Source organism: Homo sapiens, chromosome 19 (assembly GCF_000001405.40).
Source record: "Homo sapiens chromosome 19, GRCh38.p14 Primary Assembly".
Classification (NCBI taxonomy): Eukaryota; Metazoa; Chordata; class Mammalia; order Primates; family Hominidae; genus Homo; species Homo sapiens.
In genome coordinates this window covers 5,933,045-5,960,451 of record NC_000019.10, presented here as the reverse complement: position 1 = coordinate 5,960,451, position 27,407 = coordinate 5,933,045, and the positions used below count along the sequence as shown (strand labels likewise).

The following is a 27,407-nucleotide window of genomic DNA, read 5'->3' as shown; positions in this document are numbered from 1 at the left end:
GTGGATCAGGCAGTGACACTTGCTGTGAAGAGAAAGAAAGCATCTTAGCGTCACTTTGAGGCCTGTCCAAGGTCTCTTCCACAGATGCTGGAGTGCAGCATGTGTGTAATTCAGTCTGCAGTGGCTGGACCGCGCCTCTCTCAGGCCAGAGTCTGTTAGCGACAAGGGGCAGAAATCGAGCTCAAACTGGCTTAAGCAAAAATCAGCACTGATTGGCTTCACTGAAAAGTCTGGGGGCAGAGTTAGCTTTGGGCCAAGCTTGACTCAGGGCCGAACACAGGCCAGATTTAGTCTTCCCCCTCCCTCTGTGACTCTGCTACCTCTGGTTGGCTCTGGTCCAAGGCCCCTCTCGGTGACATGGGATTGCTGGCAGCCTCAGGGTCATTCACCAGCAGCTCAGCAGCCCCAGGATCTCCAGCGAAAGGCCTGGCCTTGTTCATGTGCCATGTGTTAGACGATGCATGCGGGACTCTTCTTGTCAGGCCTGGAGCTGGGGCTGAGCTTGGCTCCATCTGAACTGGGGGACAGGGGGACGAGGGGTGGGTAGCTCCCTAAAGAAAATGGGGTTGGAGAGTGCCAAGCTGGCTCAAACCCTGGCTCCTTCCTGTGCATCTTGTCACCTGGCAGCTGGCAGGGAGGCAAATGCAGAGGTCAGGGCTGGGCTTGTGGGGTACAGGCGTGGCACCGGAAGACCTCTAGGATCCTGGTGGCACACATGGTGTGGATACGCTGCTGCTCTGTCCCAGAGTCCCCCAGCATTCCTTTGACATCATTTATTGCCTGGCATAGGTGCATTCATTCACGTTTGTCAAGCAGCACCTGTGTGCTGTGTTGGCAAGAAGTCTGCTTAGGGAAACCTGGAAGTCTGGTTGGAGACCCCTCTGACCTCCCCTGCTCCCTTGTAGCCCCTGGGTCTCGCGCACGCCACTCACTCCAGTGTTTGCCTTGGCTGTACACGGTGAATCAGACCCTGGTGTGCCGAGGCTTCGGGGAGCATGGTGGGGGGAATGTCACCATCAGTGGGCTGCCTGGCTGTGGACTGATGCCCCAAGGTCAAGACCAGAGTCTGTCCTGCGTCTGCAGGAGTGGGATGGTGTCTGTTTGGTCATCTTGGTGCTGTCCCTTTCTCTCCACCTCAGTCACTACCCACCTGGTCTCCCCACAGCCACTCTCACTCCCTTCCCCAAACTGTTTGCTTTCAACCTAAACCAACCCCAGGCATCCCCTTGCCTTTTATGACATTTCCCCAGCAAGTCAGCATGCCCACCGCCTGCCCCTGGCCCCATCACCCCGCAAGCTGTGACTTCAAGCTGCTGCTGCTCTCCCTTCCAGCTCTTCTTGAGACCCCAGCACAGCCCCCTCTTCTCAGGGACCTCCCCTGGACTCCAGAGCAGACCAGGTCAATGCCCAAGCAGAGTGCCTTCGTCGTGATCATGGGCAGCACATGCTTCCTGGGTAATGCCTGGCTCCCCACGACCGGGGTCGGGGGGCCTGCGAAGGCAGGGCTCTTCCCAAACCCTGCTCAACGCGGAGGCACCAGTGCGCAGCCCGCAGCCCACAGCAGGCATTCACCAGAGTCACAGCTGCTCTTGCTTGGCCTCCACGCTAGGCCCTCAGTGCCCTGAATGGTGAAAGAGGCCCTGGGAGCACCCCCAGAGTTCATCAAAGTGCATGCAGGCCCAAGGCCATGAGGCAGGTGTGGTCTGCGCCTCCTCGTGGGGTCGAGGCAGTCCTCATCTGTGCTTCCTGTGCGGGCAGCAGGGCCTCCTGGGCTGCCACCCACTCCGGGGCTGAGTGGCACAGGGCTGTGGATCTGGCTGCCCCTGGGTAGGAGACAGATGGTGTTGCGTGGGCATTACAGGCCGCCTTGCTCTTGTCCCATCAAGTGACAGAACACCCCAGAGTGTTTCTTCCTTCAGCCGCTGTGCAAGATGGACTCTCAGGCCTCTAGCAACTCCAGACATCCTTTCCTCCCAACCAGCACTCACTTAGAGATCCAGGTTGAGCGTTAGGATTCTTCTACCAGAACTGTCTGCAAACAGCGCGAGCGGTGGCCCTTTTTTTTGCCCTCTGGCCTGTAAACTTTAAAAAGCTAAATTAGTCTCTAACATTTGCAATTCAGGAGGTGCCACATTCCTGCAAGGTCACAGTTCATGGCGCCAAATAGCGCTGCCACACTCTCCGCTGCTCTCCCACTCCCATTTACACGCCCGCTCTCAGTGAGTCTTGAAAACTCCTTATTGATGATAAATGCATACAGCAGAGGGCACACGTCACATCATTCTGGGTGCATTTCACAAACCCAGCACACCTGTGCCTCCAGGCATCCGAGTCAAGACGCTGTTCTAAGTGATTTGATGTTCTCTGGAGTTACTAGTTTCATTTATATATATGTTTAACATATTACAAACAAGTGTAGCTTTGTTTACTGTATGCATATAGTGTTGGGGGGAAAAAAACTAATTTTTCTTTTTGCAGAAAAGCCTGCCATTGCTCCGCCCGTCTTTGTGTTTCAGAAGGATAAAGGACAAAAGGTAAGGGGCCGGTACGTTCTCTCTTCACTTCGTTACTCTAATTTGTTCTCTCTTTACTGAGAGTCTCTTTTCCAGGTCGCATTGCCAAGGCCACTTCTGCCCACAGACGGGGAGACCTAAGCAGAGGCCTTTACACTTTCACGTTGAGCTTGGAGGGAAAAGGCTTGGTGGCTTTAGGTTACCGTGGAGAGAGGTTAGGATGGGTCTGTTGTGGAAAGGGCTCAGAGAGTACAGTTTGTTGAAACGGTATTAGAAAGCTTCTTCCTAATTCCTGATGATTTGTTTGAGAAATGCCACTGTACCTTAGGAAAACCAACAGCAGAGGGACAGTAGGGGGCAAAGGGAGGAGGGAAGGTGGGGAGGGAGTCAGGGAGGGAGGGAGGGAGGGGAAGGAGGAGAGCAATGGTGGTTACAGGGGAAACAAGACCTTTAAGCCTGGATTTATTGGCCCTAACGAGCTGGGCGTACGTGCATTTAGAGTAATTGTTCATTTGTTTGCATTATATATTTATCCCGTGTCCATGAGGCTGCTTCTCCCTTGGATTCAGGGTGTCTGGGTCGCAGTGTGGTTGGAAGTACCTCGCCTGATTCATGGCGATGAGCTGGCAGCCTGTGGAAGGTCTGATTGGTGTGGCAACAGGGTTCTGTGATAAGACAACGATGGGTGCTATTTACCTTGAAGCCATCGGCTTCTCTCCCTGACAGATCGGTGTGGATGGTCAGAGTTTTGTCAGAAGTTAGTTGGTGCTGTGTGGCAGTGACTCCTCAGCTTGCATGGGGACCCTCACTGTTTATCCAGAAATAATGTGTGGTCCCTCCCCACTGATGCCCAGCGACGGCACTCCCCACCTCATACCCGCTGCAACAGTCCCACTGATGCCCAGCGGCGGCACTCCCCACCTCATACCCGCTGCAGCAGTCCCACTGATGCCCAGCGGCGGCACTCCCCACCTCATACCCGCTGCAACATTTTAGAGTGACCAAGTGTTGTGCTGAATTCGGTGCATTTTGAGGATGTCTGCATCTTGTTGGTAATAACAGGATTTGAGAATCTCATCAACTCCATTCTCCTGTGGCTTCTGTCCCCTCACAGGTGACCGGCTCCCAGGCTGGAAGCCGCTCTCATGATCTGGGACTCAGCTGCTGGTCTTAGGTCCTGTCCCAAAGCCAGCATTTATCTTGATGTGGCCCGGTTTTCCTGAGCAATGTTGAAGTGCTCTGTGGGGATCGGGTGTGTGTGTTTGTAGGGGTTGGGGAGGAGGGGAAAATGGTTGTTCTAAACCTCCCCCAGCACACCCCTCCCAGGATACCTGTGTGTTAGCCTGGACTTATCTACTAAGCTTGTAACTTTAACTCATGAAACTTTCCCATTGTTACTTTTTTTGCTGAAGAAGCAATCCAGAAACATGAAAACTTTCTTCTAGTTTTGTTTTGGTTCTCCAGGTATTTCCAAGATAAATCTGCCTCTGCTATCTCCTCTCCCTTGGGCCCTGACAAGTACAGCTTAATGACGTGGCTTTATGATTTGTCTTTTGGAGGTTCCATCAGTACGAAAGGACTGGTGCATTTCTCTAGTTTTAGAGAATAGTGAAGCCTCAGGAGTTGGGTGTGTTAGAGCTATGTTGGAGATGTTATAGTCATTCCTCAGGTGTTCAGTAAAATCAGGATTTTCTAGAATTTTGCATTTTATTATCTTTTGAACCATTTTTAGTTTAAAACAAAGGTTAGCAAATTAAGGCACAGCACTGCCACCTGTGTTTTTTTGTTTTGTTTTTTGCTGTTGTTTTATTTGTTTATGTTTTTATCTTTGAGAGACGGAGCCTCACTCTTTGGCCTAGGCTGGAGTGCAGGATCGTGATCATAATTCACTGCAGTCTTGAACTCCTGGCTTCAAGCAATCTCCCGCCTCAGCCTTCTGAGTAGCTGGGACTACAGGCACCACCACCACACCTGGCTAATTTGAAAAAAAAAAATTTTTTTTAGAGATGGTGTCTTGCTGTGTTGCCCAAGCTGGTCTCGAACTTATGGCTTTAATCATTTCTCCTGCCTCAGCCTCCCAAAGTGCTGGGATTGTGGGCATGAGCCAACAAGAACAGAGCCACAACTATCCCCTTTGCGGTTGCCTGTGGCTGCTACAGCAGTAGTATTTGGACAGAGACCGTGTGGCTTGCAGAGCCTTAAGATATTTAGTATCTGACCCTTTGCAGAAAACAGTTTGCCAACCCCTGGTTTAAAACAAACAATAGGAATCAGTAATTCTTTAAATCTGAAGACTTTAAGGCAACCAGCAAGATGGAACAGTAATGTGTAATATTTGCTCAGATGAATTTAAAGTGCTTTTAAAGTCACTAGCTGCTGTGTCAGTACTGTTTTCACAGCTGAGGGGGTTTTGTTGCTTTGTGATTTGCAGGCTAATTTGCATGTATGACCTTCAAGGGGTCTATGCCAATTACATAAACATGTTGGAGTTGAACCAGAAGGCTAGCCAGGAAGGCATTTTTAAAAATGCAAGTAGGCCAGACACGGTGGCTCACACCTGTAATCCCAGCACTTTGGGAGGCCGAGGTGGGCAGATCACAAGGTCAGGAGTTCAACCAGCCTGACCAACATGGTGAAACCCCATCTCTACTGTGGTGGCAGATGCCTGTAATCCCAGCTACTCAGGAGGCTGAGGCAGGAGAATCGCTTGAACCCGGGACTGGAGGTTACAGTGAGCTGAGATCGCACCACTGCACTCCAGCCTGGGCGACAGAGTGAGACTCCATCTCAAAAAAAATTAAAAATAAAAATTAAAAATAAAATGCCAAGTATAGTTCTTATCAAAATATTGGCTCACAGCCAATTCTAAATGGACTTCTAAAAATAACTGCCCTCCAGCCTTGGGAGTTGGGCTGCCCACTTCTGTCACTCGCACTTCTGTGGCACCGTCGCTGAAGAGGCATGTGGGAAACCTCTGTGCTGAGGCCAGGAGCAGGAGGAGCGTGTTTGCTTCGCTGTCGGAGGACAGTGTCCACATGGCCCTAGAGTCCTTTCTGCCACTGGGGAGTGAGGTGGAAAGTAAACACACAGGGCGGGCGGCTGGCTTTGTTTCTCCTTGGCTTTCTGGTTCAGGGCCTGCAGGGAGCAGCTGCAGTGTGTGTCAGAAGTGAGGGTTTGAGAGCCTTTATGGTTTCATTCTCTCTTGCGGAGGCCATCAACCCATCCCTGTCTTGCTCTCCAGAAGCCGAGCTGGGACCGAGCTTTTAGAGCTGCTGCCATTGTTTTTCCGAGGAGGTTCCCCCCGCCCCACCCTTTTTGCTTCAACATTTTATTCTGAAAATTTTCAAATCCTTGGAAAAGAGTGACACTGCAAACACTTGGGTATCCTGCCCCTGCCCTCTCTGTTAGCATTGCTGCCCTCACCTCTCATACCGGAAGTTAAGCCCATGTGACATTTCTGCCCTAAATTCTTCCACGGGTGTCTCATAGGGATGAGGCCATTCTCCTGCATGGCCTTACCACCATGTTACTCCTACGAAAATGTTAATTCAGTAATATCCTCCAGTATATAGTCCATGTTTTAAATTGTCCTAATTGCCCCTCAGATGTCACTTATAGTGACTTTAACAACTTCTTGATCCTCAAAGATCAAGAAGTCTCATCAACTGTGGGACCAGCTGACTTACCTTTCAGTAAACGAGATCTCAGACCACACCCGATGGGGTGCAAGTAAAAGAGCCCCTTCGTCTCCACCATCCCTCTCACGCCATTCAAAGGAGACAGCTCTTTATGCTCAGGTTTTATTGCTGAATCATGATTCAGCATGATTTGGAGTTGAAAAGAAAGACATGAAGCTGCCAGCCGAGGAATTTTTTGTTTTTGTTCAGTGGCAAAGCCACACAGCGGTTTTCTGTGGGTCCCGTTGATGTGTCAGATTGCACTTCAGCACACTACGGATTGGGACCGTGGCCTGCGTGTGGGTGCCGGTGGCATCACTTAGCCTTGGGTGAGGTTGCCAAATCCTATCGTTCCAGGATAGAAAAAGCCATGTGTGGTTTTAATTGTAGTCCTAGGGCCTAAAACGAAGCCATGGTCAGATTGGCAGCACAGGGATGTTACTCCCTTCCCATGCCTGCGCTTCCTGGGGAGGGGCGTGCTGTCTCATCGAAACGCCTGCGTTTACATGCACCATTGTTTCCGGGGCAAAAATGAAACCTTTCTTTCTTAACTGCCTTGGATGGAGATAGAGTTCTTTCTTTTTCTTTTTAATGTGAAGAGAATTTAAATATCCTTATGTAGGCTGTTCCATTCTTTGTAAAGACTAAACATTTCTTTCAGTTGCTCTCTCTCCAGAGCATTTGTTAATCTGAAGTGGGGAGGCTTTGAGGTTGTACTAGCAGAATAATGGCCATTTGGTAAAAAGAAGGCAGTTACAGAAATGCTATTTAGCAGAAAGTACAGTATCACTGAAAATGTGGTCGTAGGGTGTTTAGACCTGCTTTTGAGGCTTACCGTTGGTGTGATGAGCTTAGCCCTGGTGCACGTGGTTTTTGCCAGCCATGTGTATTTTAGGATGAGGTCAAAGGCTGGCAAACTCTTGATGTCTGATTTTACCAGACATGTTGAAAAACTCCAGGCTTCACCTTAGTTCTTTAGAGCTTACGATTCCTGCCCAGGAGAAATGCTAGGACCTGAGTAGAAAATGCTGGAATGACATTGTTAATTCTCCCATCTGAGAGAGGAAGTGATGTAATACTTCTCAACACTTATACAAATCATTCATCTTAACCAAAGATGACGAATTTGATCCTGTTTTGATGTCTTGGTTTCCATGTTTATGACTTACTTCTTGGTCCTCCTGTTTAGCATTTTGAATTACCATGAGGATGTTTGAATATTTACATTTCAAAAGCAGGGATTACAAAAAATTCAAGTGGTTCTAATTAGAGATAGGCAGTCCCCCACAGAGCTCTGGGTTTAATTTTTCTCTTGTGAGGTGTTAAGTCTCTCACCATCAAGTAGCAACAGACATGGGTGGCTGGACGAACCACGGTGCCCTGTGCAGGTTTAGAGAGCCAGGTTTAGAGAGCGGCTGGTCCGTGGCTCTGCCCTGGATACGAAGAGGCGACAGTGTCCCCTTGATTACTTTTGAGTGAAGATTGCTTTTGCTTTCCTAGGAATTTGTGTACATTCTCTTACATCCTCTTTCTGTAGCTCCTTTCCTCCTCCCGGATCACTGCTTTTTAAGTAGTGCCCAAACCCCGTCTAAAGAGGTCAGCCACTTCACACCCAAGAAGAAGCACAGCCACGTCCACGGGGAGACGGGGCAGCCCTGTAGTCATGTAGGTCACCGAGTGCGAGAAATGGCTCCATGTCGTTGGACGATGCCAAGAGGGAGGTTTGGGGACTGGAGTCTGTTTTAGGACACCAGGTGTTTAACCCATTTCTCAAGAAAAGTCTTGGAGTTACGGCCACAGAGCTCTCAGCCCATGGAAGCCCTGCTGGAGTCCCAGGAACCACCTTAAAGGATGCTGGGTGTTGTACTGTGGGGAGGAAGACTTCTGGAACCGGCTGCTCTCACCTTGGCAGCTTTCCAAATGAGCCCTTGCCTGGGGTGTTGAGGATGCACCTGGGAGAATCCTAGGCTGAGGGGCTCTGTGGATTTGCCCCCCTCCTTCATCTGAACTACCCGCCTGCCACTGATGCAAAAACCAGCTCTCAGTGTCCATGTCACCCCACACTTGCACTCACCGAGGTGGGAAAGCACTTTCTGGATCCTGGGTGTAAGCAGAACAAATGGAAAGTGCTAGAAGAACTGTAGTGAGAGGCAGAAGCCCTTGACCCCGGCGAGAGGCAGAAGCCCTTGACCCTGGCCTCCCTGGTTTCTCCCTAACTTTGGGGTTCCAGCCACCTCCCTCTTTCCTAAAGCACAGAAATGGTGCTGATGGCCAGCTCCCCCACTTCAGTATTTTTGAGATCCTGAAGGGGTTTTAATATTTTGCATGATCGTCCCTGTCCCTTGATCACCAAGGCCCGTAAGCCAAGTAGCTCCTTGCCAGGCAGCCCATAGTTTTGGAAACGAGGGTCCTGCTTCTCATACACTGTAGAGCTCCCTGCAAAGTCACATGGCACCTAGTCCACTCTCACTTCCCTTCCGTCAGCCGGAGAGCCGGTTTTGTTGAGCAGAACCCAGAAGCAGGTGCCTGCTCTCCCCATCTTCCTCCCAGGCGCAGGAGCTGCTGCAAGCTGAGCCAGCTCCAGCCTCTGACCCCTGCCCGCCCTTCCTGCTGTGTGATGCAGCCTTTATTCACATTGAAGGAAAATTGTCTTTTTTGCTCCCAGTCCCCTGCAGAGCAAAAAAACTTGTCGGATTCGGGAGAGGAGCCTCGGGGGGAGGCTGAGGCCCCCCACCATGGCACGGGTCACCCCGAGTCAGCTGGCGAGCATGCCCTAGAACCTCCTGCCCCTGCTGGCGCCTCAGCCAGCACTCCTCCGCCTCCCGCTCCTGAAGCCCAGCTTCCTCCTTTTCCGCGAGAACTGGCAGGGGTAAGTCCACACCTACCCGGCACTCCTACCGCCCAGGGGGAGCCCAACCCAGACCAGCCACTTTCCCTTCGGGTCCCTCAGATCCTGGCCCTAGCTAATTGTAAGCAGCTAATGGTAACTTAAAAGATGACAAGGATTTCTTCCAGCTCGCTTTAATTCATGCTGCTGAAAAGTCAGGGAAGATCGAATCCCCTTTTAGCCTTTTCTAAATTGCCGTGGGAATATATACCCACAGCAAGAGGTGAATCCTGTTTCCCAAAAAAGACACGAGGGGTCAGGAGGAATTGAGTCATGTGAAGTAGAACCTTCCAAACCTAATTTGACCCCTTCACCCTCCTTCCATTTTTCCTTCTTGTTTCCCTGAATGCGGGCATTCAAGTTTAGCGTCTTAGAAACCCAAGAAGCTAAGGCTTCCTTTGATATCTAGGAAGAGGCACTCTCCAACACAGATTGCTTTGCAAGACTGATTGTGTTTGGACTGTGGTTAAGGCAGTGAACTGATTGTCTTCAATCAAAGCAGGAAGAAGAAAAGACTCTTCCTTTGAACCCAGAAGGAATCCCCTGAGCCCTTTATCTTTGTATTAAGAAGCCTTTTGAAGATTATAGGTGGAGAAGATTGTGAACTCTCAAGAACAAGAAATGTCTTGGGTTTTTGAAGTTTGATAAATTGGGAAAGGTAAACATTATCCTACATTCAGGATTGAAAACTCCATCCTGTAGGTAACTCATGACAGAAGACCCCTATTCTCAGGACAGGGAAAAAGGACTCTTAACAAGAAAAGAAGGGACCCAGCTCTACCGCCTGAGCACCAGGCAGCCTTCCAGGCTGGTACGGTCCCAAACCTTATCCCGGACCTCAGCGTTCTTTCTAGCACACAACAGTCCCCGGTTTTTAAGGAAACTGTTAACATTCAGCTACAGCCACCAAACCTCAGGACACTTAGGAAGCACTGTTCAGCCAGGGGTGGGTTGGAGTCCTGTGTTAACATTTTGGAGGAGTCAGTGTGTGATGGAAAAAGAAGCAACAGTCTTTACTTGTGCCATAGGCTATGGGTGTGGGGGAGGTAACGGCAGTAGTGGCCTTCGTGGCACAAAAGTGGGTTTGGGGTAGTGAGACACGGGAGCCGCGGGAAGGAGTCCAGCCAGGAGGCACTTGACCCACAGTGCACTGGGAGTACAGCCCTCCCATGAGCGCACGTGACTGCCGCCAGAGCAAGAATTAGGAGGTGGCTGCGTCCTTCTTTTGTTGGCAGAGTGGCTGCCGGAAACTTCTCCTGAGTCAGGTATGGTGAGTTACTGCACCTCTGGTCTTTGAGAGCACAGGAAATGGTGTTCTCAGGTTTCCGTCTTCAGCTGTCTGGGAACAGATGGTCTTTAGGGTCCCCCCCAGAGGCCTTCTGCAGGTGCCTGGGTTTGAAAAATGCAGCCCACATAGGACTCTCCAGCTGCAGAGGTGACAGGTTCTAGAATGAGAGTAGCAAACAAGTGCATCACAGAGTTTTTGTGACAGCAGGTGCTCTTCAAGAGCACACGCGCTGTTCTGTGCCCTGCGTACTTCTCACAGAGGCCCATGTTGGAGTGTCTGGAGGGGCCTCACCTCGTCCACATGTTCATCTCTTTGGCCTGGCCAGCCCAGGTAGATCTCAGCATCCTGATTCTCATGGACTTTGGGTCTGAGGCTCTGATCCTGAGAAATTCAAGCAGTCCCCCACACTGGCAGGTGGAAGGTGAAGCTGTATGGCAGGGAGCCTTGGGATGAGCTTGTGGGCACCGTGGGAGAGCCAGGATTGGAGGCTGCATAGAGCAGTATGTAAATGTTCCAATGTAGCTCTGGTGGCCATGTGCATAACATGCACCTTGTAGTTTTAGCACTCGTAACTTTTGGACACCCACTTTCAGGAGCCCCAGGAGAGCCATTGTCAAGCCCCTTGTGACAGCTCTGAGCTGACCAGGGCTCTTCCCTCAGGCTGTCTGCAGAGAACACCCTGACTGGTTGCTAAGGGCTCCTGTTAATTGGCTTTCTCTACTAATCGGGCCTGCTCAGAGCAAAGTAAACTTTATTTTAGGTTAGTTAGGCCATAGATCAAGTCAGATGGAACCCGATGCCAACTGCTTCTTGGCCTGAGCCTTTTTCGTGTGTGTGAACTCAGACCGTTTTCGTTTGCATCAGAAGAAATTTGGGTCTCACTCTGTATCACACTGGTGTTCAGGAAACCACCCCCATGTTACCCGGCAGGTCTCATCCGTCACATCTAGTCTGTTCACTTTATTCCATGGTCCCTGGGGGGAATATAAAGCTGAGAGTTCTTGATGATAAACAGTGGTGCGCTGAATTGTTACTTGTAAAGGGCCCTTACCATCTTTTAGTCTCGTCAGAACCCTGGCCATGGAAGAGTCAGTACCAGGAAAAAGTCTCTATATATCAGACTTCCTGGCTTTCAGAAGACAGTCTGAAGAAGACCAAACCACATCCCGATTAAGTTCTCTGTTTGATGTGGAGAAAGCAGGCAGCTCTGGGCACTCACTGCGAGCCTGGTGGAATTGTACTGGACTGAAGCTCCCTGCCAAGGACCTGCCGAGCTTCAGATATGTTTATTAGACCCACCAGGGAGCTTAAGGAGGTTCTGGAATGAATCCCTCTGGCCAGACAGCTTCCCCCCACCTTCCAGCCCCTGCACAGGATTTGACCCTCAGCACCCCTCAACTTTGGAAGCCACCTCTCACTTGCTTTTCTCAGGGCCTGCCCTTTTGACAAGAATTTCTGAGCTGGTTGCCTCTGCCACAGAATAAAAAGCATTGAACTGGCCCATCATTTATTTTGTATCCCAGGTATCCAGCCATGACCAGCCAGGTTTTCTAACTTGCCAGACTCACTGAGGCCCTGGTACACCGCTTGGTTGCCAGTTTTCTAGGGGGAATTTATCTTTTTTTTTTTTTTTTGACATGGAGTCTCGCTCTGTCGCCCAGGCTGGAGTGCAGTGGCCCGATCTCTGCTCACTGCAAGCTCCGCCTCCTGGGGTTCACGCCGTTCTCCTGCCTCAGCCTCCTGAGTAGCTGGGACTGCAGGCGCCCGCCACCATGCCCAGCTAATTTTTTTTGTATTTTTGGTAGTGACAGGGTTTCACCGTGTTAGCCAGGATGGTCTCAATCTCCTGACCTTGTGATCCGCCGACCTCGGCCTCCCAAAGTGCTGGGATTACAGGCGTGAGCCACCACGCCCAGCCATCTAGAGGGAATTTATCTGACATGGCCTTGCTTTCTGGCCTTTCCTAGGGGACCAGGTAAACAGTGCCATTCCTTCCTGCTTCTTCCTTGTTCGTCTTTGTGTCTGTGGAGTCGGCTTCTGAAAGCTTTGTCCCTTTCCCTGGGCCGCCTTGGCACCGAGGACACACCAGACAGTCTGACAAGACCCATGTTTTTTGGACAGGGCAATTCTTAATAAATGTGACAACCATGATTTTCACTGTTTCATTCCTTAGGCAAAGAACAAGCTTCCCACCCCTGCATTCCCATTCCAGATGGGATGTGCCCCTCTGTCTTGTATTTAGTGACAGGGACTCATGCGCCTCACAGAATTGAGTTACTTCCCACAAGCTCCCTATGGCTGCCGGTGGGGAGCTTGTTGCGCCACCAGCCCCCACCCCGCCGGCAGGGACGTGGGGCACATGATCAGCACTCACAGTGCTCGCTCCCGACCAGCCTGCAGCCCAAGCCGCGGGAGGGCTGCTTCATCTTTTCTGAGCCTGCTCTGTTCACTCCTGCTGTCCCAGTGCCAGAGAGACAAGTCAAAGGGCCCTCTGGTCTTCTTTCTCTTCTGCTTCCTTATTATTACTCTGGGATGTTGTCATCATGGTGTTGAAATGGATGCTGACCCAGCATTCCCCGGTGTCATCCTGAAGCCCTGCGCCTCGCAGCAGTAGAGTCTAGTTTGGGAAAAGTGGAGGAGGAGGAGGAAATGGGGCTCTTATGTCCTGCTTCTGTCCTCGCTCCTCCCCACTAAGCTCGAGTCTTCGGAGCTTGCTCTTTTTGTTTTTGTTTCTTTCTTTTTTCTTTTCTTTTCTTTCTTTTTTTTTTTTTTTGAGACAGAGTCTCCCTCTGTTGCCCAGGCTGAAGAGCAGTGGCGCCATCTGGGCTCACTGCAAGCTCCACCTCCTGGGTTCAAGCGATTCTCCTGACTCAGCCTCCCGAGTAGCTGGGATTACAGGCATGCACCACCATGCCTGGCTAATTTTTGTATTTTTAGTAGAGACGGGGTTTCTCCATGTTGGCCAGGCTGGTCTCGAACCCCTGACCTCAGGTGATCCACCCGCCCAGGCCTCCCAAAGTGCTGGGATTACAGGCATGAGCCACCGTGCCCGGCCTGGAGCTTGCTCTTAAAATCCTCCTGAGCTCTGGTTGCAGACCTCTGGGGGCTGACCCTGAGTGTGTCCCAGGCATTGTTCGGGACCAACCCCTGAGGACCCACTGCCTTGTTTGGGGTGAGGGGTGGCCCCAGACTGCCTTGACACCAAACAGGTCCAGACTCCTGGGCTGCTGAGTCTAGGAAATGGAAAATGTGGAGCTGGCATTGGCTGTGTGCAGGGCTGGGTGGCTTAAAGGTTCCTTCACCCCAAACCATTTCCTGCTTTGGAGAAGGCAGCACAAGCCAGCTGGACAGCAAGTTCCAACGTCTCCTGAGAGGAGAGGCCCTCCATCCCAGCAAGGTGCAGGGTGTGGAGGCCTGGATTGGGGCAGAGGGCAGGCGGCACCTCACGTGGCCAGCGGGTTAGGATTCTAGAAGAGCTCTGTCCACAGGCACGCGTTCTGTCTTCTTGCTTCCCTCCGCTGGGTCTTAGTGGAGAGTTGCTGGCAGGAGGTTCCCCTGTCGAATCTTCCTGTGTTGTTCTTCCCAAGCCTTGGCTTCCCAGCCTTTCCAGGACCAAGAGGCCCCCCACTTTGTTGCAGGCAGGCTCTTAGAAGATATTTGGGGCACGGATTTGAGGGTCTCCTGAGATCAGGGGTCAGGCAGCATCTGAATCTTGTCTGCCTAGGCACCCATTCTTCTCAAGGTCACTGAAGGGGACATGGTGGAGGACACGGACTCCACCCACGCAGCAAGTCCTCAGCAAGTGCCTTCTGTGCAGGTGTCCCGGGTGTCGCGTGAATGAACTGTGTTGTAGGAGACACCTCTGAGATCATTTCCCTATGTGATAGAACAAAACAGGGTAGCTCCCGAGAGGGGCTGGGATAGGGAGTGAGCATGAACTTACCCTAGAGGTGGTGCTCACAGCATCTCAGACACGCAGGGACCTGGAGGGAGGGCGCCCACGGAGGAGCAACACTCAGTGAGGCAGGAGCAGCCAACATGTTCAGAAAACAGGAGGCCACATGGCCAGAGCCTGGTGGCAGAGGGGACCCTGTGCCTGAGGAGGCCACCGAGGCAGGAGGGAAAGGTACGTTCTCGGGGGGCTAGAGCTAATGGGACTTGCTGGCAGGTTGGAGGTGGTGGGTGAAGGGGAGGATGAGTGCAGAATGCCTGGGGGCACCACAGTGTTCCCGGGGCTGCTTCTAGAGCCACGAGTAGACCCCAAGAGACTGTTGGGAGCCCCGGAGCCACACTCTTGACCTGGACATGCTGCTCTGGGGAGAGCATCCATGGCATCCATGATCCCTGAGAGGCATGGGTATCGTCAAAAGAGCCCCCAAAATACGCAAAGCAAAAACGGACAGAACTGAAGGGAGAAATAGTCGAGTCAACCGTAAGAGTTGGAGGCTTCGGTACCACACTTTGAGTAATGGATAGAACATCTAGACAAGATCAGTAAGGAAACAGGACTTCAGCAACACAAAAACCAAGCAGACCTAACAGACATATAGGTCACCCCACCCAAACAGTGGGGTACACAGCCTTCTCAAGTGCACATGGAAAATTCTCCATGGGGGGCCATTTGTTAGGTCACCAAACACATCTCAAATTTTAAAGGATCAAAATATGGAGTATGTGCTCCAACCACAAGGAGATAAAATTGGAAATCAAAAACGGAAACTAGGAAATTGACACATGTGGAAATTAACCTAGATAACCACTGAGCCAGAGAGTTAGGTGTGGAGATGTCAGGAGAAACATCCCGTGCAGGGGTGAGGAGACACGAGGGAGCTCGGGGACCAGTTCCTTCTGTAAGGCCGGACTCAGGTCTTCGGCTTCTCCGTGGCCTGCAAGGGGCCTGGGATGCAGTGTCTTTTGTTGAACAAATGCTAAACGGGCTTCTACTGTGAGGTCCAGTTCCTTCCTAAGTCTAGTGGAGTCCCTGACACAACTCCCAGGATCAGAATAAGCCACAGAGAAAGAGTATAAGGGGCCTGGAGGTCACCTCACCAAGGGGTTCATTCTCGCTTGAGGGAAAAGGAGGGCGTCACTGGATGAGAGAGCAGGTCGTCTACAGAGGCCAGAGAGGGTATGGCCATCTCCTGGTCCCAGAAGTCATTTAGGAAGGGACAGATCCCCCAGGACCAGGGAGGACACCGTGTAAGGGTTTTGGTACAGTTGAAAGGCTCGTTGGATTAAAAGGGGAGAGAAAAGTCTAGAGCCACAGGATGGGACTTGGGGGTGGGGATGTCCTGGGCCTGCTGTTAGGAATGGATGGGAGGACTGGTGAGGCCAGGGAAGCCAGAGGTGAGGCGAGCAGTGCGGTGTCCGAGGAGATCGGGCTGTGCAGAGGCTGCTGGCCTCAGACAGTGACCTGCACAGAGCATTTGGAGGCCAAAGCCAGCCTACAGGGCTCTGGAGGGCATGGGTTACCCAGAGGGCAAGGAGGCTGTGTCAGGTGTTGTTTCTCACAGCTGCCTGTGCTGGGAGGCTGATGTAAGGGCCCGTCGAGGGCAGTAGCTGCCCCAGGCATGAGATGCCCAGGCTTGGCTGGATGAGCAAAGGTTTTGGCTGCCCGGGTGGGCAGATGCTGCTTCTCTGTACTTCTGTCACCTTTGCTAAGTATGAGGGCAAGCGATAGCTGGAGCCTGTACCCACCCCACAGATGTCACCCAAGAAAAGGGATGACAAGGTGGTGACAGCTCAGCACTATCAGATGCAACCCCAGGCTCTGGCATTTCTAGAAAGGTTCCCAGTCCAGGTCCCTCGCCTCCTGGCTGCACCCAGGACTCACTCCACACCCCTGACTCCCTATTCATGCCTGCCTTGAGCTCTAAAGCCCTGCCCCCAGCGTAGCCTCCAGATTTTACATCGGTTGGGAGTTTGATCTCATCAGGTGTGGGTCACGAGCATTATAATCATCTGCTCCCAGCGTGCAGGGCACTGGGCTGAGCACCTTACCTGCCCTGCCTGTCACCTCACGCATCCCTGTTTTCCAGGTGAGGAGACCGAAGGCTGGGCAAGGTAAGGTTTCACCCGTAGAAAATGGCAGAGCCGGAATACACTGAGTTCTTCCGGCCTTCAAGAGGCAGCAGGGACCAGGCAGCCTCTGCACCCCTCGTGCTTTTGGCCTGGCCGGAGTTGGTACTGACTCTAGGGCCTGGCTGCTTGATGGCATTGCGTTTTGGACTCAGTGGTATTTTCACAATTGCCCCAGTGACTAATAGAACCCACTGTTGTGTTACAAGGATTTTGTGTTTCCCACACACTTTGATGATGTCATCTCGTGGGGATAGTGATAATCAGCCCTCACTCGTACAGTCCCTTGGGAGCATTTCCAAAGCCCCCTCAGAACACGGGCCTCAAGCAAGAAGCCCAGGCTTGCTTTTCCCACACAAACCCATGTTGTCAGCTCACACGGGAGGAGAAAGTCCAGGGTAGCTTTTTTTCTGACCGTCGTGAACGAGCTATGTGACTTCAAGTCAACTTCCTACCTTCTCTGGGCTCTCACTGCCACAAGCTCCAGGCCTGGGCCTGTAAGCTAAGATGATGTTTACATTTTTAAAGGATTATAAAAGCAAAAACAAGAATATATGACAGAGACCAAATGTGGCCCACAAAGCCAGCAGTACCGACAGTCTGGCCCTTTATGGGAAAATGCATCGCCCTGACTTGAGGGGGGTCTGCCTTGGCTCCTGTGCTCCTCAGTTTTATTTATTGCAGTTTGCTTTCCCAGGCCACTCTGCAGTTTGCAAAGCACTTTCACATGCATCACCTCCCCTAAGCCCCAGCAGCTCGTCGAGGCAGGCGGGCCTCATTTGGCTAAACTTGACCTCTGAGGAGCATTTTAGAAAATAAGAAAATTGGCTTTTCTGCTTGCTCTTGCAGGGAGCGCGCCAGGAGGAGCGGCCCTCACTCATCGGTGCGCTTTGGGCTGCTAAATTCTGAGACAGGACATAAATGAGGGATTGTGTTGGGGGAGAGGATAAACACTCCTCATGTTAAGTTTTGAGTTTGTTTGTGTTTTGAGATGAGATGTGTCCTTCAGGCTGGGGTGCAGTGGCATGGTCATAGCTCACTGCAGCCTCAGACCCCGGGCTCAGGTGATCCTCCTGCCTCAGCCTCCCTGGGAGCTGGGGCTACAGGCATTCACCCCCCTGCCCAGCTGATTTTTATGTGGTTGGGTTTTTTATAAAGACAGAGTCTCACCATGTTTCCCAGGCTGGTCTCAAACTCCTGGGCTCAAGCGATCCTTCTGCCTCAGCTTCCCAAAGTGCTGGGATTACAGGCATGAGCCACTGCACCCAGTCCATTTTAAGTCCTTTTGTTTTTTTTTTTTTTTTTTTTGAGACAGAGTCTCGCTGTGTCGCCCAGGCTGGAGTGCAGTGGTGTGATCTCGGCTCACTGCAAGCTCCGCCTACCGGGCTCAAGCGATTCTTGTGCCTCAGCCTGTAGCTGAGATTACAGGCGTGCACCACCACGCCCAGCTACTTTTTTTTGTATTTTTAGTGGAGACAGGGTTTCACCATGTTGGTCAGGCTGGTCATGAGCCCATTTTAAGTCTTGGTTGCTGGTTGTTCACACTCTAAAGCTAAAGTTTGTGGAATAGGGAATTCTTCAGGAGCCTTCCCTCAGCCTGTGACTGGGCTTTGTCTTTGATGGTTCTGTTCTAAACACTTCGCAAGTGGGCTTTGGTCCAAAACATCCAAGCTCTTGCTTGCTCTGGGAATAACAGCCGACCCTGAGACAAGCATGTGCATGGTAGAATGTTCCAGGGCAAGGAAGGGAAATCGCTCCTATCCGGTGTGATGTGACCATTTTACACAAGTCCGCTGCCCTCAAGGGTGGAGAGGGTCGCTTTTCAGCTCTTGGCAGAATGAACGGGGGCCAGATGAGGTTCGGCTGTGTTTGAGTTTAGGGGTGGCAGGCCAGTTAGCGTAACCTGTGGAGAAACAAGAAACTGATCTGGGTGCTGCGGATGCTTTCCCAGCCACTGAGAGGATTCCTTGGCATGTGTTTGTGAAGCTGGGTGCAGAGGTTCATCGGGGGGATGTTTGAGCTTTAGGCTAAAATCCTGGCTCTCATTCGGGTGCTGGGCTCTGGGAACTAGCTGCCCGTGGTGCATGTTGGGATATTTGTTACGGCCCCGAGAGTTGCTCGGCTGCCGTGAGCCTGATGCCCTCTGACCCCGGCTGTGTGCTCCTTGTTTCAGAGGTCAGCTGGCGGCTCCAGTCCTGAAGGCGGAGAAGGTAAGGAGCTCTCTAACACCTTTGACCATCTTCAGTTTTAAAGACAGAAGCAACCTGATTTTTCTCCTCCTCTTCTCATCATTTTCTGTAGATTCTGACAGAGAAGATGGAAATTACTGCCCTCCTGTCAAGCGAGAAAGAACATCCTCTTTAACCCAGTTCCCACCCTCACAGTCAGGTAAAATATGCAAACTTACGGAATGGTGAAAGCGTTTATGCTTACAAACCCGCCATTCCCCTCAGTGCCGCGCATCCGTCTGCTGTGTCCTTCCTGCCCAGCTCCGGTTAGAGTCGATCTGAGGCTCGGGCTCTGTCAGGAGTGAGGTGAGAGCTTGTCCAGAGTGCAGCATCAGGGGTCCTCGTCTCGAATCAGTGACACTGACGGCATGGTGAGACTTGGTGGCCTGAGGAAGACTGTGAAGAGATCGTCCCTCTGAAATGGAGGAAAGGGGTTGACTACTGAGAGCCCTGTTGGGGCCTCTGCCTGTTAATTACATCTCCTCTTTCCAAGGCTGGACACAGACTGGGGGTTTAGGGGTGGGGTGTTCTCCCAACCCCTCAGCTGCATGCCCAGCACGGGCAGTCCAGTGCAGTAGCCCAGACACACACACGCATGTACACACAAGCATGCACACACACACGGTAACCAGCAAGCCAGGAGGCCCCAGCAGAGGCCCGTGTGTGATGCTGTGAACTCCCAGAGGAGAGGAGCTTGCGGGGGCCTGGAAGGGTGGGCCAGGCTCGGACTGTGGAGCAGGGCAGGCTAAAGGGCTTGAAGGCCCTGGACGTGAGGCCTGGTCTGAGCACAGGCCTGGAGGTCGGCCTGGGGACTCATGCAGGCTGGTACAGGAGAGAGGTTCCTGAGGCAGATAATGCCGTCAGCACTACTTAATATAACACTCAGAAAGCCCGGCCTCCTGCCATGGGCACAACTCTGCAGATTTGAGGGTAAATGCCACTGCAGGGCTATTCTCTCGTCCCCGTCTTGACTTCCCACTCTGGCATTGTCTCGTGGCCTCTGTCTTAGCTGTCTGTAGTGCCAACTTGGACATACATGAGTGTTTAGACAGGTTCTCTGGTTACCCAACTGAAATCCATTCCTGGAAAGTTCATGTAAATCATTTTACAGTCCTGAACCTTCAGGATGTCAAGTTGTTTCTGCTTACAGAAGTCACGCATGCGTTACAGGAACACACAGCGTAGGAAGCCAGGGTCCTTCCCAAGTCACCCCTCCACACCCTTGTTTTCATGCCCTTTTCCCATCACGTTGGTTTTGGACATGGCCGCGTCTTTTTGCACAGCTGCATTAGGTTTTCCAGTGCTATTACACTGTCATCTGCTGACTGGATATTGCGGAACTGTCCAGATGGCTTGCAGTCCAGGCTGCAGTTGGCATCCTTTTAATTTAAGGATCTTTGCACCTGTGGATAGGTGTTCTGTGGAATGAGGGAGCTCCACTTCCTGCTCGTTGATTTTATTCCTTCCCCCTCACTGCCCACTGCTGAACCATGCTTGCTGTATCGAAAACCAGCATAGAGAAGAGGAGGTGTTTGGGCTGTGAATGTAGGCTAAAGAGGCGAGGGACCACCATTCTTCTCCCCGGCCCTCTTCAAATCACCTCCCGTCCAGCGCAGCAGCCCCCAAGAGACACTCAGCTCTCCAGGGTAACTGGAGGCGTGAGGGGCACCAATAATTTGAACAGTGTTGTCTTTGGTTCCATTCTGCGTAGAGTGAGTTCTTCCCCTACGAATTCCACTTCATTTGTGGAAACCTGTTGGCTGGCCCACACCCTGGGAAGCAGTTGCCCTGGTGAAGGAAGATCTTAGGTGGGGGAGGGGGAACCCCATGGACAAGCCTTGACAGGTGAGGAGGAGTCAGGGCCTCCAATGTGGCCTGGAGCATCTGATATCTCCCCTGCCGGCTGCCCCTGCAGAGGTGCAGGGACAAGGGGGTGCCCCCAGTTGACCAGAGTTGACTGTAGTCATCAGACAGATCAAGGCCGTCGGGCTGGAGACCCTCGTAGTGCTGTAAAGAGTCTTGGGGTTTGCTGTTCTCGGGAAAGACTGAATGCCCTGTTTGCGTGCTGTTCCGTCTCCTCCCGTGGGACGTGAGAATCCACCCCTCAGGTGGGAGAGGTGATCTCTGAGCGTCCACCCCACCCATTCATGCTGTTTTTCCTCTTGTTCCCTCCCCCGCCTGCACCTCCTTGTCAACAGTTTCAAAAAACAATGTTTTTATGCCATCAAGCTTCTGCGAGCCATCTGCAGGCAATTCCGACTCAGAGCCAAGTGAGCCCCGGCCCCTCTGCCTTCCCGCCCGGCCTGGGGGTTCTCCTGGGAGGAAAAGCAATTGGTGTGGGAAAATCAGATCTTCAGCGGGCATTTAAAGTCAGTTCTTCTTCAGCTGTTAAAATTTTTCCCCCAACTCTTCAGCTCATAGTCTGGGGATCTGGCGTGAGATGAGGCTTCATAAGCCCTCATGTTTGTTTCTGCAAGCAGGGCCTGGTTGCATGGAGCTCTAAGTCCTCTAAAAACAACCTGTGAAGAAATGTATCACTCATTTTTCAAAATTTTATACAAGTAATGCATTCATAATTGGGGTTTTTTGGTTTTTTAGACAGACTTTCACTCTTTTTGCCCAGGCTGGAGTGCAGTGGTGTGATCTCAACTCACTGCAACCTCCGCCTCCCGGGTTCAAGTGATTCTGCTGCCTCAGCTTCCCGAGTAGCTGGGATTACAGGCGCACACCACAATGCCGGGGTAATTTTGTATTTTTTTAGTAGAGACAGGGTTTCACCTGTTGGCCAGGCTGGTCTCCAACTCCTGACCTCAGGTGATGCACCTGTCTCGGCCTCCCAAAGTACTGGAATTACAGGCATGAGCCACCGCACCTGGCCCATAATTGTTTTTTCTTTAAAGTAAATCAGAAATATTTCAACTAAAAAGAATCCCTGCCCCTTCCCCACTCACCCTGCCATCCCAAAGGTAACGCCTGTGAAGTTGGTGAATTTCTAGACCTCTTTTTTGTGCATTCTCACATTAATTTTGCTCAGACCTACCTAGATAAATATGTTTAATCACAGCTTCAAAACTTTTTGTGTGTTTTGGAGACGGAGTTTCACTCTTGTCCCCCAGGCTGGAGTGCAATGGGGCGATCTTGGCTCACTGCAACCTCTGCCTCCTGGGTTCAAGCAATTCTCCTGCCTCAGCCTCCCAAGTAGCTGGGATTACAGGCATGTGCCACCATGCCCAGCTAATGTTTTGTATTTTTAGTAGAGACGAGGGTTTCACCGTGTTGGCCAGGCTGGTCTCGAACTCCTGACCTCAAGCGAGCTTCCCGCCTCAGCCTCCCAAAGTGCTAGGATTACAGGCGTGAGCCACCACGTCTGGCCCCCAGCTTTAAAATTTTAAGGAAAGCCGCTCCCCCTTTCTGAAGAATATGGAGCCTGCCTTTTTGGTCTTTCACTGGAGAACCAACTCCAAGGTTTCCTGAAAGTTTCTCCCACGTGGCTGAAATTCCTCATAAAAGATTTAACAAGCGAGTTTAACAACCTGAATTCTGTAACCCAACCTACCATATATAAATTCATTGCCGACTTCAAAAGCATTGTGAGATAAGTTAGCTGCTGGCGTGATGTCCGTGTCAAGGGAAGAGGTGGGTTCTTATAACTCTCAGCATTGAGTTGATGGCCCCGTTTCAACAAGGCATTTTGACTCTAAAAGCAAACTGTTTTGAGCCGACCACCTGGTCTCATCCTGCAGAGGGGCTTGGTGTTTCAGGGTCCTCAGGAAGGGCACGATGTTGGTTATTCCTGGGGTGTCGCTTAGCAGGTGGTGGTCTGGATGGGGGCACAGAGCCTGCCACGGTGAGGCAGGTTCTGCTTTAGGTGATCAGTTACTAAAGCCGTGTGTCTGGACCCATTTGTGCTGCTGAGCTCTGTTACAAATCTCATGATCGCTTCTGAGGTCTGTGAGCAACGGCCTCCCTCCTGTCTCTCTCCCCACAGACCTTTCCCCTCCAGCCTCGAGCAGGGCAGCTGTTTCGCAGGCCCCGACGCGGCATGGTTTAAAGCCCCAGTGCCCTCACGCATGAAAAGGCAGTCATATCAGCCACACATCAGTTCTGCAAACCCAACTTCACATCCTTGTCTGCCTGCCTTCTGTTTTTTAGCTTTAATTTTGAAAAGCTTTAACACTTACAGAAGAATTTCTCTGTCCCTTTTGTCTGAAGACCCCATTTAGCTTTCTCCAGTCAGCTCCATGAGTCCATTAGAAAAAAGGACTGAGACCCTGGTCCTACCACACATACCTCCACTTTTATCGGGAACAGGTCTTCAGGCTTCCCTTGACTTTCATGACCTTGAGGATTACAGGTCAGCTGTTGGGTAGAAGTGTCTCAGTTGGGGCCTGTCCAGTATGTCCTGGTGGTGAGACCCAGGTGTGGCATCTTGGATGAGAATGTCACAGAAGCCATGCACAGTACTCACTTGTCCCCTTACCAGCACGGGGTGGCCGTGCTCCTCGATCAGGGTGCTGTCTGCCAGGTTTCACCACTGTAAAGCTACTTTCCCCTTTGTGCTGGATGGTTTCTGAGAGACACTTTAGACTCTGGGACTGTGTGTACCTCATCACACTCCTGCCCTCCAGTGTTCGCGCCCAGTGATGTCTTTAGAGTGATGTTTCCCGCTGACGACTGCCCCATGGGATTTTCTTCCTTTTTTTTTTTTTTTTTTTTTTTTTTTTGGAGACAGAGTCTTGCTCTGTTGCCCAGGCTGGAGTGCAGTGGCACAATCTTGGCTCACTGCACCCTCTGCCTCCTGAGCTCAAGAGATTCTCAAGCCTCAGCCTCTCAAGTAGCTGGGATTACAGGCACTCACCACCCGTGGGATACTCTGAGCACCATCCCTGCCGCGTTGATTAGTGGTGTTCACTGGAAGGAGGAGCTTGCCCTTCTCCCCACGTGCTTGTTCCTTGATCGATTGTGTCAACATAGACAGGCGAGCTTCTGTTGGCATCAGTGGGTGACCGTCTATGGTTACTGGTTTTTATTTAATGTTCAGGTTGTCCCAGATTTGGCCAGTGGAAGCCCTGTCAGGCAGGTCCCCGTTGTTCATTTGAGCACTGCCCTTACTTTGTCACAACAAGAGCCTCCCGGCTCAGCCTCTTTTCTCATCCCAGTCCTGGAATCTGCATTTCTCAGAGGCACGCTGGTTCTTCAGGGAACATGGTCTTTAGAAACCAAGGTCTGAAATCACTCCGTGCGGTACTGCGATCTCACTGACTCAGGTGTAGCCCTGCTCCCGGCCCTCCGCGGACAGAGCTGGGGACACACCTTTGTCCACATGATCTCTTACTCTCTGCCTGCCTGCCTGCCTGCATGTGGAGATGACGGACAGAGCTGGGGACACACCTTTGTCCACATGATCTCTTACTTTCTGCCTGCCTGCCTGCATGTGGAGATGACGCCAGGGGCACGTGGGTGCCTCCCTTGGTATATTCCTCCCTCTTCTGGCACTAAGAAACCGGCACCCTCTGTCCTCTGTGCATCAGGCATCACTCCCTGCCCACCGCATGGCTGAGCCTCCTCCCCACCCTGCACCAGCGCCGTCCACGCACAGACCCCAGCTCCAGCCAGGCTGCCTTCTCAGCATTTGATGCACACAGTCTCATTCCCATCCCTTCCCTGGTTAAATCGGGGCTCCCTGGGGGGCAAGCATGGCTTCCCACAGACATCACTTGGGGCTCTCTGAGGCAGGCGAAAAGCACCCTCAGACAGGGAGCCTGCCAGCTTCCCAGGAGGGCAAAGGCTGCCGGCGGGAGGGGTCCTCTTCCTCTCTGGAGTGATGCGCATCCCTCAGAGACTGGTGCAGCATCCTCTACAGGCCCACACCCTTTGGGTATGTGGCAGGCGTCGGGCTCTGGCCATGATTCAGCAGCTTGTGTTGCGACCTGTGTTGCAGAAGAAAATTTCTGGAAGGAATGAGAAGAGACCACCCTTGTTTTCGTGGAGCAGGGCCTGTGACAGGGACCTCCAGATTTTGGCTACCCCTGGAGCACGCCTTGTCTGTCTGCAGCTCTGGAGAGGGCCACGCTCTGGGCCTAGCACTAGTGGCAGGTCGGTGGCAGGGATTATCCAAGTCTCCTGCTTCCGCTTGGCAGCTCGGGCCAGCCCCCAGGCTCCCCTCAGCGTTAGCGCCAGCGCTGCACGGAGCGGAGTGTGGAAGGGCAGTAGTCAGTCTGTGACCAAAACATCAGCGTGGAGAGCCAGCTTGAAGAGCTTGCTAAAAACTATCTAAATTGTGAATTTGACCTTTTAAAAATGTATCTAAATTGCCAGTCGTCTTCTGCATAGCTCCGTGCTTTGGAAATGTAATTGAGTGTTTCCTTCGGAAAAGGAACATCTGGCGGCTCACCCCCGCATCCTGCAGGATCTGGCTCTCCTGAGTTTGTTTTTTTATGACCAGTCTGTTACGGGAGAGGCACCAGCTCTGCTAACACAGGCTGCCAGAAGCCCCTGGGGCTGGACTCCCTCATACAACTATTATAGTAAGAAGGGTTGCTGCAATCCTCTTGCTGCCCAGGCACAGCGGCGCCTCCGGGGCACAGCGGGAGAGGGGTCTTCCTTGGCCTGCTGAATCTTGATTTGGAGTCTGAAAATTTGGGCTGACAAGGTGTTTTGGGTTTTGTTGTCATCGTTTTAGTGTACAATTGAGTGGTTTTAGTACATCCACAGAGTTGTGCGACCATCACGTGATTAATTTTAGAACATTTCCATCATCCCAAAAAGAAACCTCATCCCTGTTAGTCACAGCCTGCCCCCAACCCCCTCCCTTGAGCCCTGGTAACCGCTCAGCTCCTTTCTGCTTAGTCTGGCATTTCACAGAAATGCAATCAGACAGCATGAGGGGGTGTTTTTCTTTTGATTTACACCTTTAATTTCTTCCAACAATGTTTTTGTTTTGTTTGAGACAAGGTCTCACTCTGTCGCCCAGGCTGGAGTGCAGTGGTACAGTCGTAACTCAACTGTAACCTCAAGCTCCCAGGCTCAAGTGATCTTCCCACCTCTGCCTCCTGAGTAGCTGGGACTACAGGCATGTACCACCATGCCTGGCTAAGTTTTTAATTTTTTGTAGAGTTAGGGTCTTGCAGTGTTGCCCAGGCTGATCTCAAACTCTTGGGCTCATGCAGTCCTCCTGCCTCAGCCTCCCAAAGCACTGGGATTACAGGCATGAGCCACTGCACCCGGCCCTAACATTGTTTTATAGTTTTATCTTGTGAAATGTATTCCCAAGTATTTTATTCCTTTTGGTGTTATTGTAAATGGAATTATTTTCTTAATTTTGCTTTTGGGTCATTCACTGCTAGTGTTAGAAACACAATCGATTTTTGTATATTGATCTTGTGTCCTGTAGCTTGACAAGGGGGTGAAGCTTAGCACAAACGCAGGGCTACCTCCAGGAGCCATAATGCCACAGTCTCTGTGCCTTGCCCAGGAACAGGCTTGCCTGCCTGAGTCACAGGCCTTTTATGACAATCCTTCCTGTTGTGGATCAGATTAGACCACCATCCCCACTCCCTGTATGGGCACAGTTGCCAAGACACACAGATGAAGGGGTCCATGTGGACAGGTGGCTGGGCGAGGCTGGGCTCTCGAGCCATCCCAGGAGCTCGTGGGCATTCACCTTTCCCTCTAGTTTTGTGAATTTGTCAGCCCGGACTCTGGCCCAGGGGGAGCTGGCCTCCTCCACGGTGGCCAGGAGTGCCCCCTCACTGAGACGGGAAGCTCCGCAGGCACATCTGGAAAGGGGAGGCAGGCTCACTGTGTGCCACCTTTGACCTTTTCATCACAAAAACCTGTCTCACTTCCCAGACATCTGTAGTGGTGCCAAGGTTCTTCCTGGCCACAGCCGCATCCTCTGACAGACAAGCCTTCTAGGAAAGGGAAGTGGGGCCTGAGCGCCTGTGTTCCGTGGCTCCCTGACATTCTCCAGAGCCAGGTACAGGGCCGCTGAGCAGCTCGGCTCCTGAGCCTGCAGCAGGTCATAGACAGCTGGGAGGGCGGCTGACGCCCCACCTGCCCCCATGGTCAGCAGCTGGCCCAAGAGCCATCGTTCCTCCTGCCCTTGTCTCTCCCCTCCTCCAGGCGCCTTCCAGGCCTGCTGATCGGACGAGACTTCTGTTGTAATTTGGAAATGTTCTCCCTGGTTCTCCAGGCCCGAAGTCACTGAGGCCAAGACCATAGTCCTCTCCTGCCCTTGCCCCCCAGGCCCAGCCCCAGCCCAGGCAGGCCTGCTGTTGATATTTTGTCTTGTGCTTTTAGAGGAAAGGAGCAGTGGCTTCCGGTTGAAGCCACCAACGCTGATCCACGGCCAAGCCCCCAGCGCAGGTAGGTCGTCTACCTCCCTGGGGCGGGGGGTGGCTCTCTGACGTTTTTCAGACCTCTGCTAGGCCACACCAGGGCACCGCGGGCTCAGCCTGCTTTCTAGAAAGATCACTTGTAACTTGACCCACGAGCCCTGGAAAGTTCCTTTAAAGAGAGGCTGTCTGAGCAGGGAGGTTGGGACCCCTGACTGTGAGCGTCGTGTGTTCAGAAAAGTGGGCAGTGGTGGCACGGGAGCAGGCTAGGCGGGGTGCATCGGGCGGGCTCCATGCCCAGCAGTAGCGCACTTGGTTCAGCCTGTCTGTCCTTCATGTTCTGGCCCCCACATACCACAGTGTTCGCCCCAGTTAGCAGGGTGGCTGCATTCCAGCGGCG

General features: G+C 52.1%; 1 protein-coding gene across 15 annotated transcripts in view, besides 10 other annotated features; it reads left to right on the top strand.

Moving 5' to 3' along the window:
* The window catches only part of RANBP3 (RAN binding protein 3), a 62,002-nt gene that overhangs the window by 17,689 nt on the left and 16,906 nt on the right, over positions 1-27,407 (top strand). For 4 of the 15 annotated variants that reach the window (NM_001300865.2, NM_007320.3, XM_047439571.1 and 1 more), the window contains 4 exons: positions 2,479-2,534; positions 18,617-18,653; positions 18,745-18,831; positions 26,973-27,038. In NM_001300865.2, the coding sequence (NP_001287794.1) occupies positions 2,479-2,534; positions 18,617-18,653; positions 18,745-18,831; positions 26,973-27,038 (246 nt within the window). Of the gene's footprint in view, positions 1-2,478; positions 2,546-8,855; positions 9,060-18,616; positions 18,654-18,744; positions 18,832-26,972; positions 27,039-27,407 lie in introns of all 15 variants that reach the window. The other 11 variants (NM_003624.3, NM_007322.3, XM_047439573.1 and 8 more) reach the window with 5 other exon arrangements.
* Positions 355-1,003: an enhancer, noted in NCBI's record as "H3K4me1 hESC enhancer chr19:5959460-5960108 (GRCh37/hg19 assembly coordinates)". NCBI's record gives its function as "activates a minimal SCP1, AML or CMV promoter by ChIP-STARR-seq in naive H9 embryonic stem cells {active_cell/tissue: H9 hESC(naive)}" and the evidence as "EXISTENCE:reporter gene assay evidence [ECO:0000049][PMID:30033119]".
* Positions 1,653-2,301: an enhancer, noted in NCBI's record as "H3K27ac-H3K4me1 hESC enhancer chr19:5958162-5958810 (GRCh37/hg19 assembly coordinates)". NCBI's record gives its function as "activates a minimal SCP1, AML or CMV promoter by ChIP-STARR-seq in naive H9 embryonic stem cells {active_cell/tissue: H9 hESC(naive)}" and the evidence as "EXISTENCE:reporter gene assay evidence [ECO:0000049][PMID:30033119]".
* Positions 2,929-3,438: an enhancer, noted in NCBI's record as "H3K4me1 hESC enhancer chr19:5957025-5957534 (GRCh37/hg19 assembly coordinates)". NCBI's record gives its function as "activates a minimal SCP1, AML or CMV promoter by ChIP-STARR-seq in primed H9 embryonic stem cells {active_cell/tissue: H9 hESC(primed)}" and the evidence as "EXISTENCE:reporter gene assay evidence [ECO:0000049][PMID:30033119]".
* Positions 6,007-7,003: an enhancer, noted in NCBI's record as "H3K27ac-H3K4me1 hESC enhancer chr19:5953460-5954456 (GRCh37/hg19 assembly coordinates)". NCBI's record gives its function as "activates a minimal SCP1, AML or CMV promoter by ChIP-STARR-seq in naive H9 embryonic stem cells {active_cell/tissue: H9 hESC(naive)}" and the evidence as "EXISTENCE:reporter gene assay evidence [ECO:0000049][PMID:30033119]".
* Positions 6,007-7,724: a biological region, named in NCBI's record as "CDK7 strongly-dependent group 2 enhancer GRCh37_chr19:5953075-5954274".
* Positions 6,189-7,388: an enhancer, noted in NCBI's record as "CDK7 strongly-dependent group 2 enhancer chr19:5953075-5954274 (GRCh37/hg19 assembly coordinates)". NCBI's record gives its function as "activates an origin of replication core promoter dependent on BRD2, BRD4, P300/CBP, MED14 and CDK7 cofactors, with strong dependence on CDK7, by STARR-seq in HCT116 cells {active_cell/tissue: HCT116}" and the evidence as "EXISTENCE:reporter gene assay evidence [ECO:0000049][PMID:35650434]".
* Positions 7,166-7,724: an enhancer, noted in NCBI's record as "NANOG-H3K27ac-H3K4me1 hESC enhancer chr19:5952739-5953297 (GRCh37/hg19 assembly coordinates)". NCBI's record gives its function as "activates a minimal SCP1, AML or CMV promoter by ChIP-STARR-seq in naive H9 embryonic stem cells {active_cell/tissue: H9 hESC(naive)}" and the evidence as "EXISTENCE:reporter gene assay evidence [ECO:0000049][PMID:30033119]".
* Positions 7,725-8,284: an enhancer, noted in NCBI's record as "H3K27ac-H3K4me1 hESC enhancer chr19:5952179-5952738 (GRCh37/hg19 assembly coordinates)". NCBI's record gives its function as "activates a minimal SCP1, AML or CMV promoter by ChIP-STARR-seq in naive H9 embryonic stem cells {active_cell/tissue: H9 hESC(naive)}" and the evidence as "EXISTENCE:reporter gene assay evidence [ECO:0000049][PMID:30033119]".
* Positions 15,334-15,974: an enhancer, noted in NCBI's record as "H3K4me1 hESC enhancer chr19:5944489-5945129 (GRCh37/hg19 assembly coordinates)". NCBI's record gives its function as "activates a minimal SCP1, AML or CMV promoter by ChIP-STARR-seq in naive H9 embryonic stem cells {active_cell/tissue: H9 hESC(naive)}" and the evidence as "EXISTENCE:reporter gene assay evidence [ECO:0000049][PMID:30033119]".
* Positions 20,498-20,678: a silencer, noted in NCBI's record as "fragment chr19:5939785-5939965 (GRCh37/hg19 assembly coordinates)". NCBI's record gives its function as "represses an EF-1alpha promoter that drives an FKBP-Casp9 reporter gene in an ReSE screen in K562 erythroleukemia cells {active_cell/tissue: K562}" and the evidence as "EXISTENCE:reporter gene assay evidence [ECO:0000049][PMID:32094911]".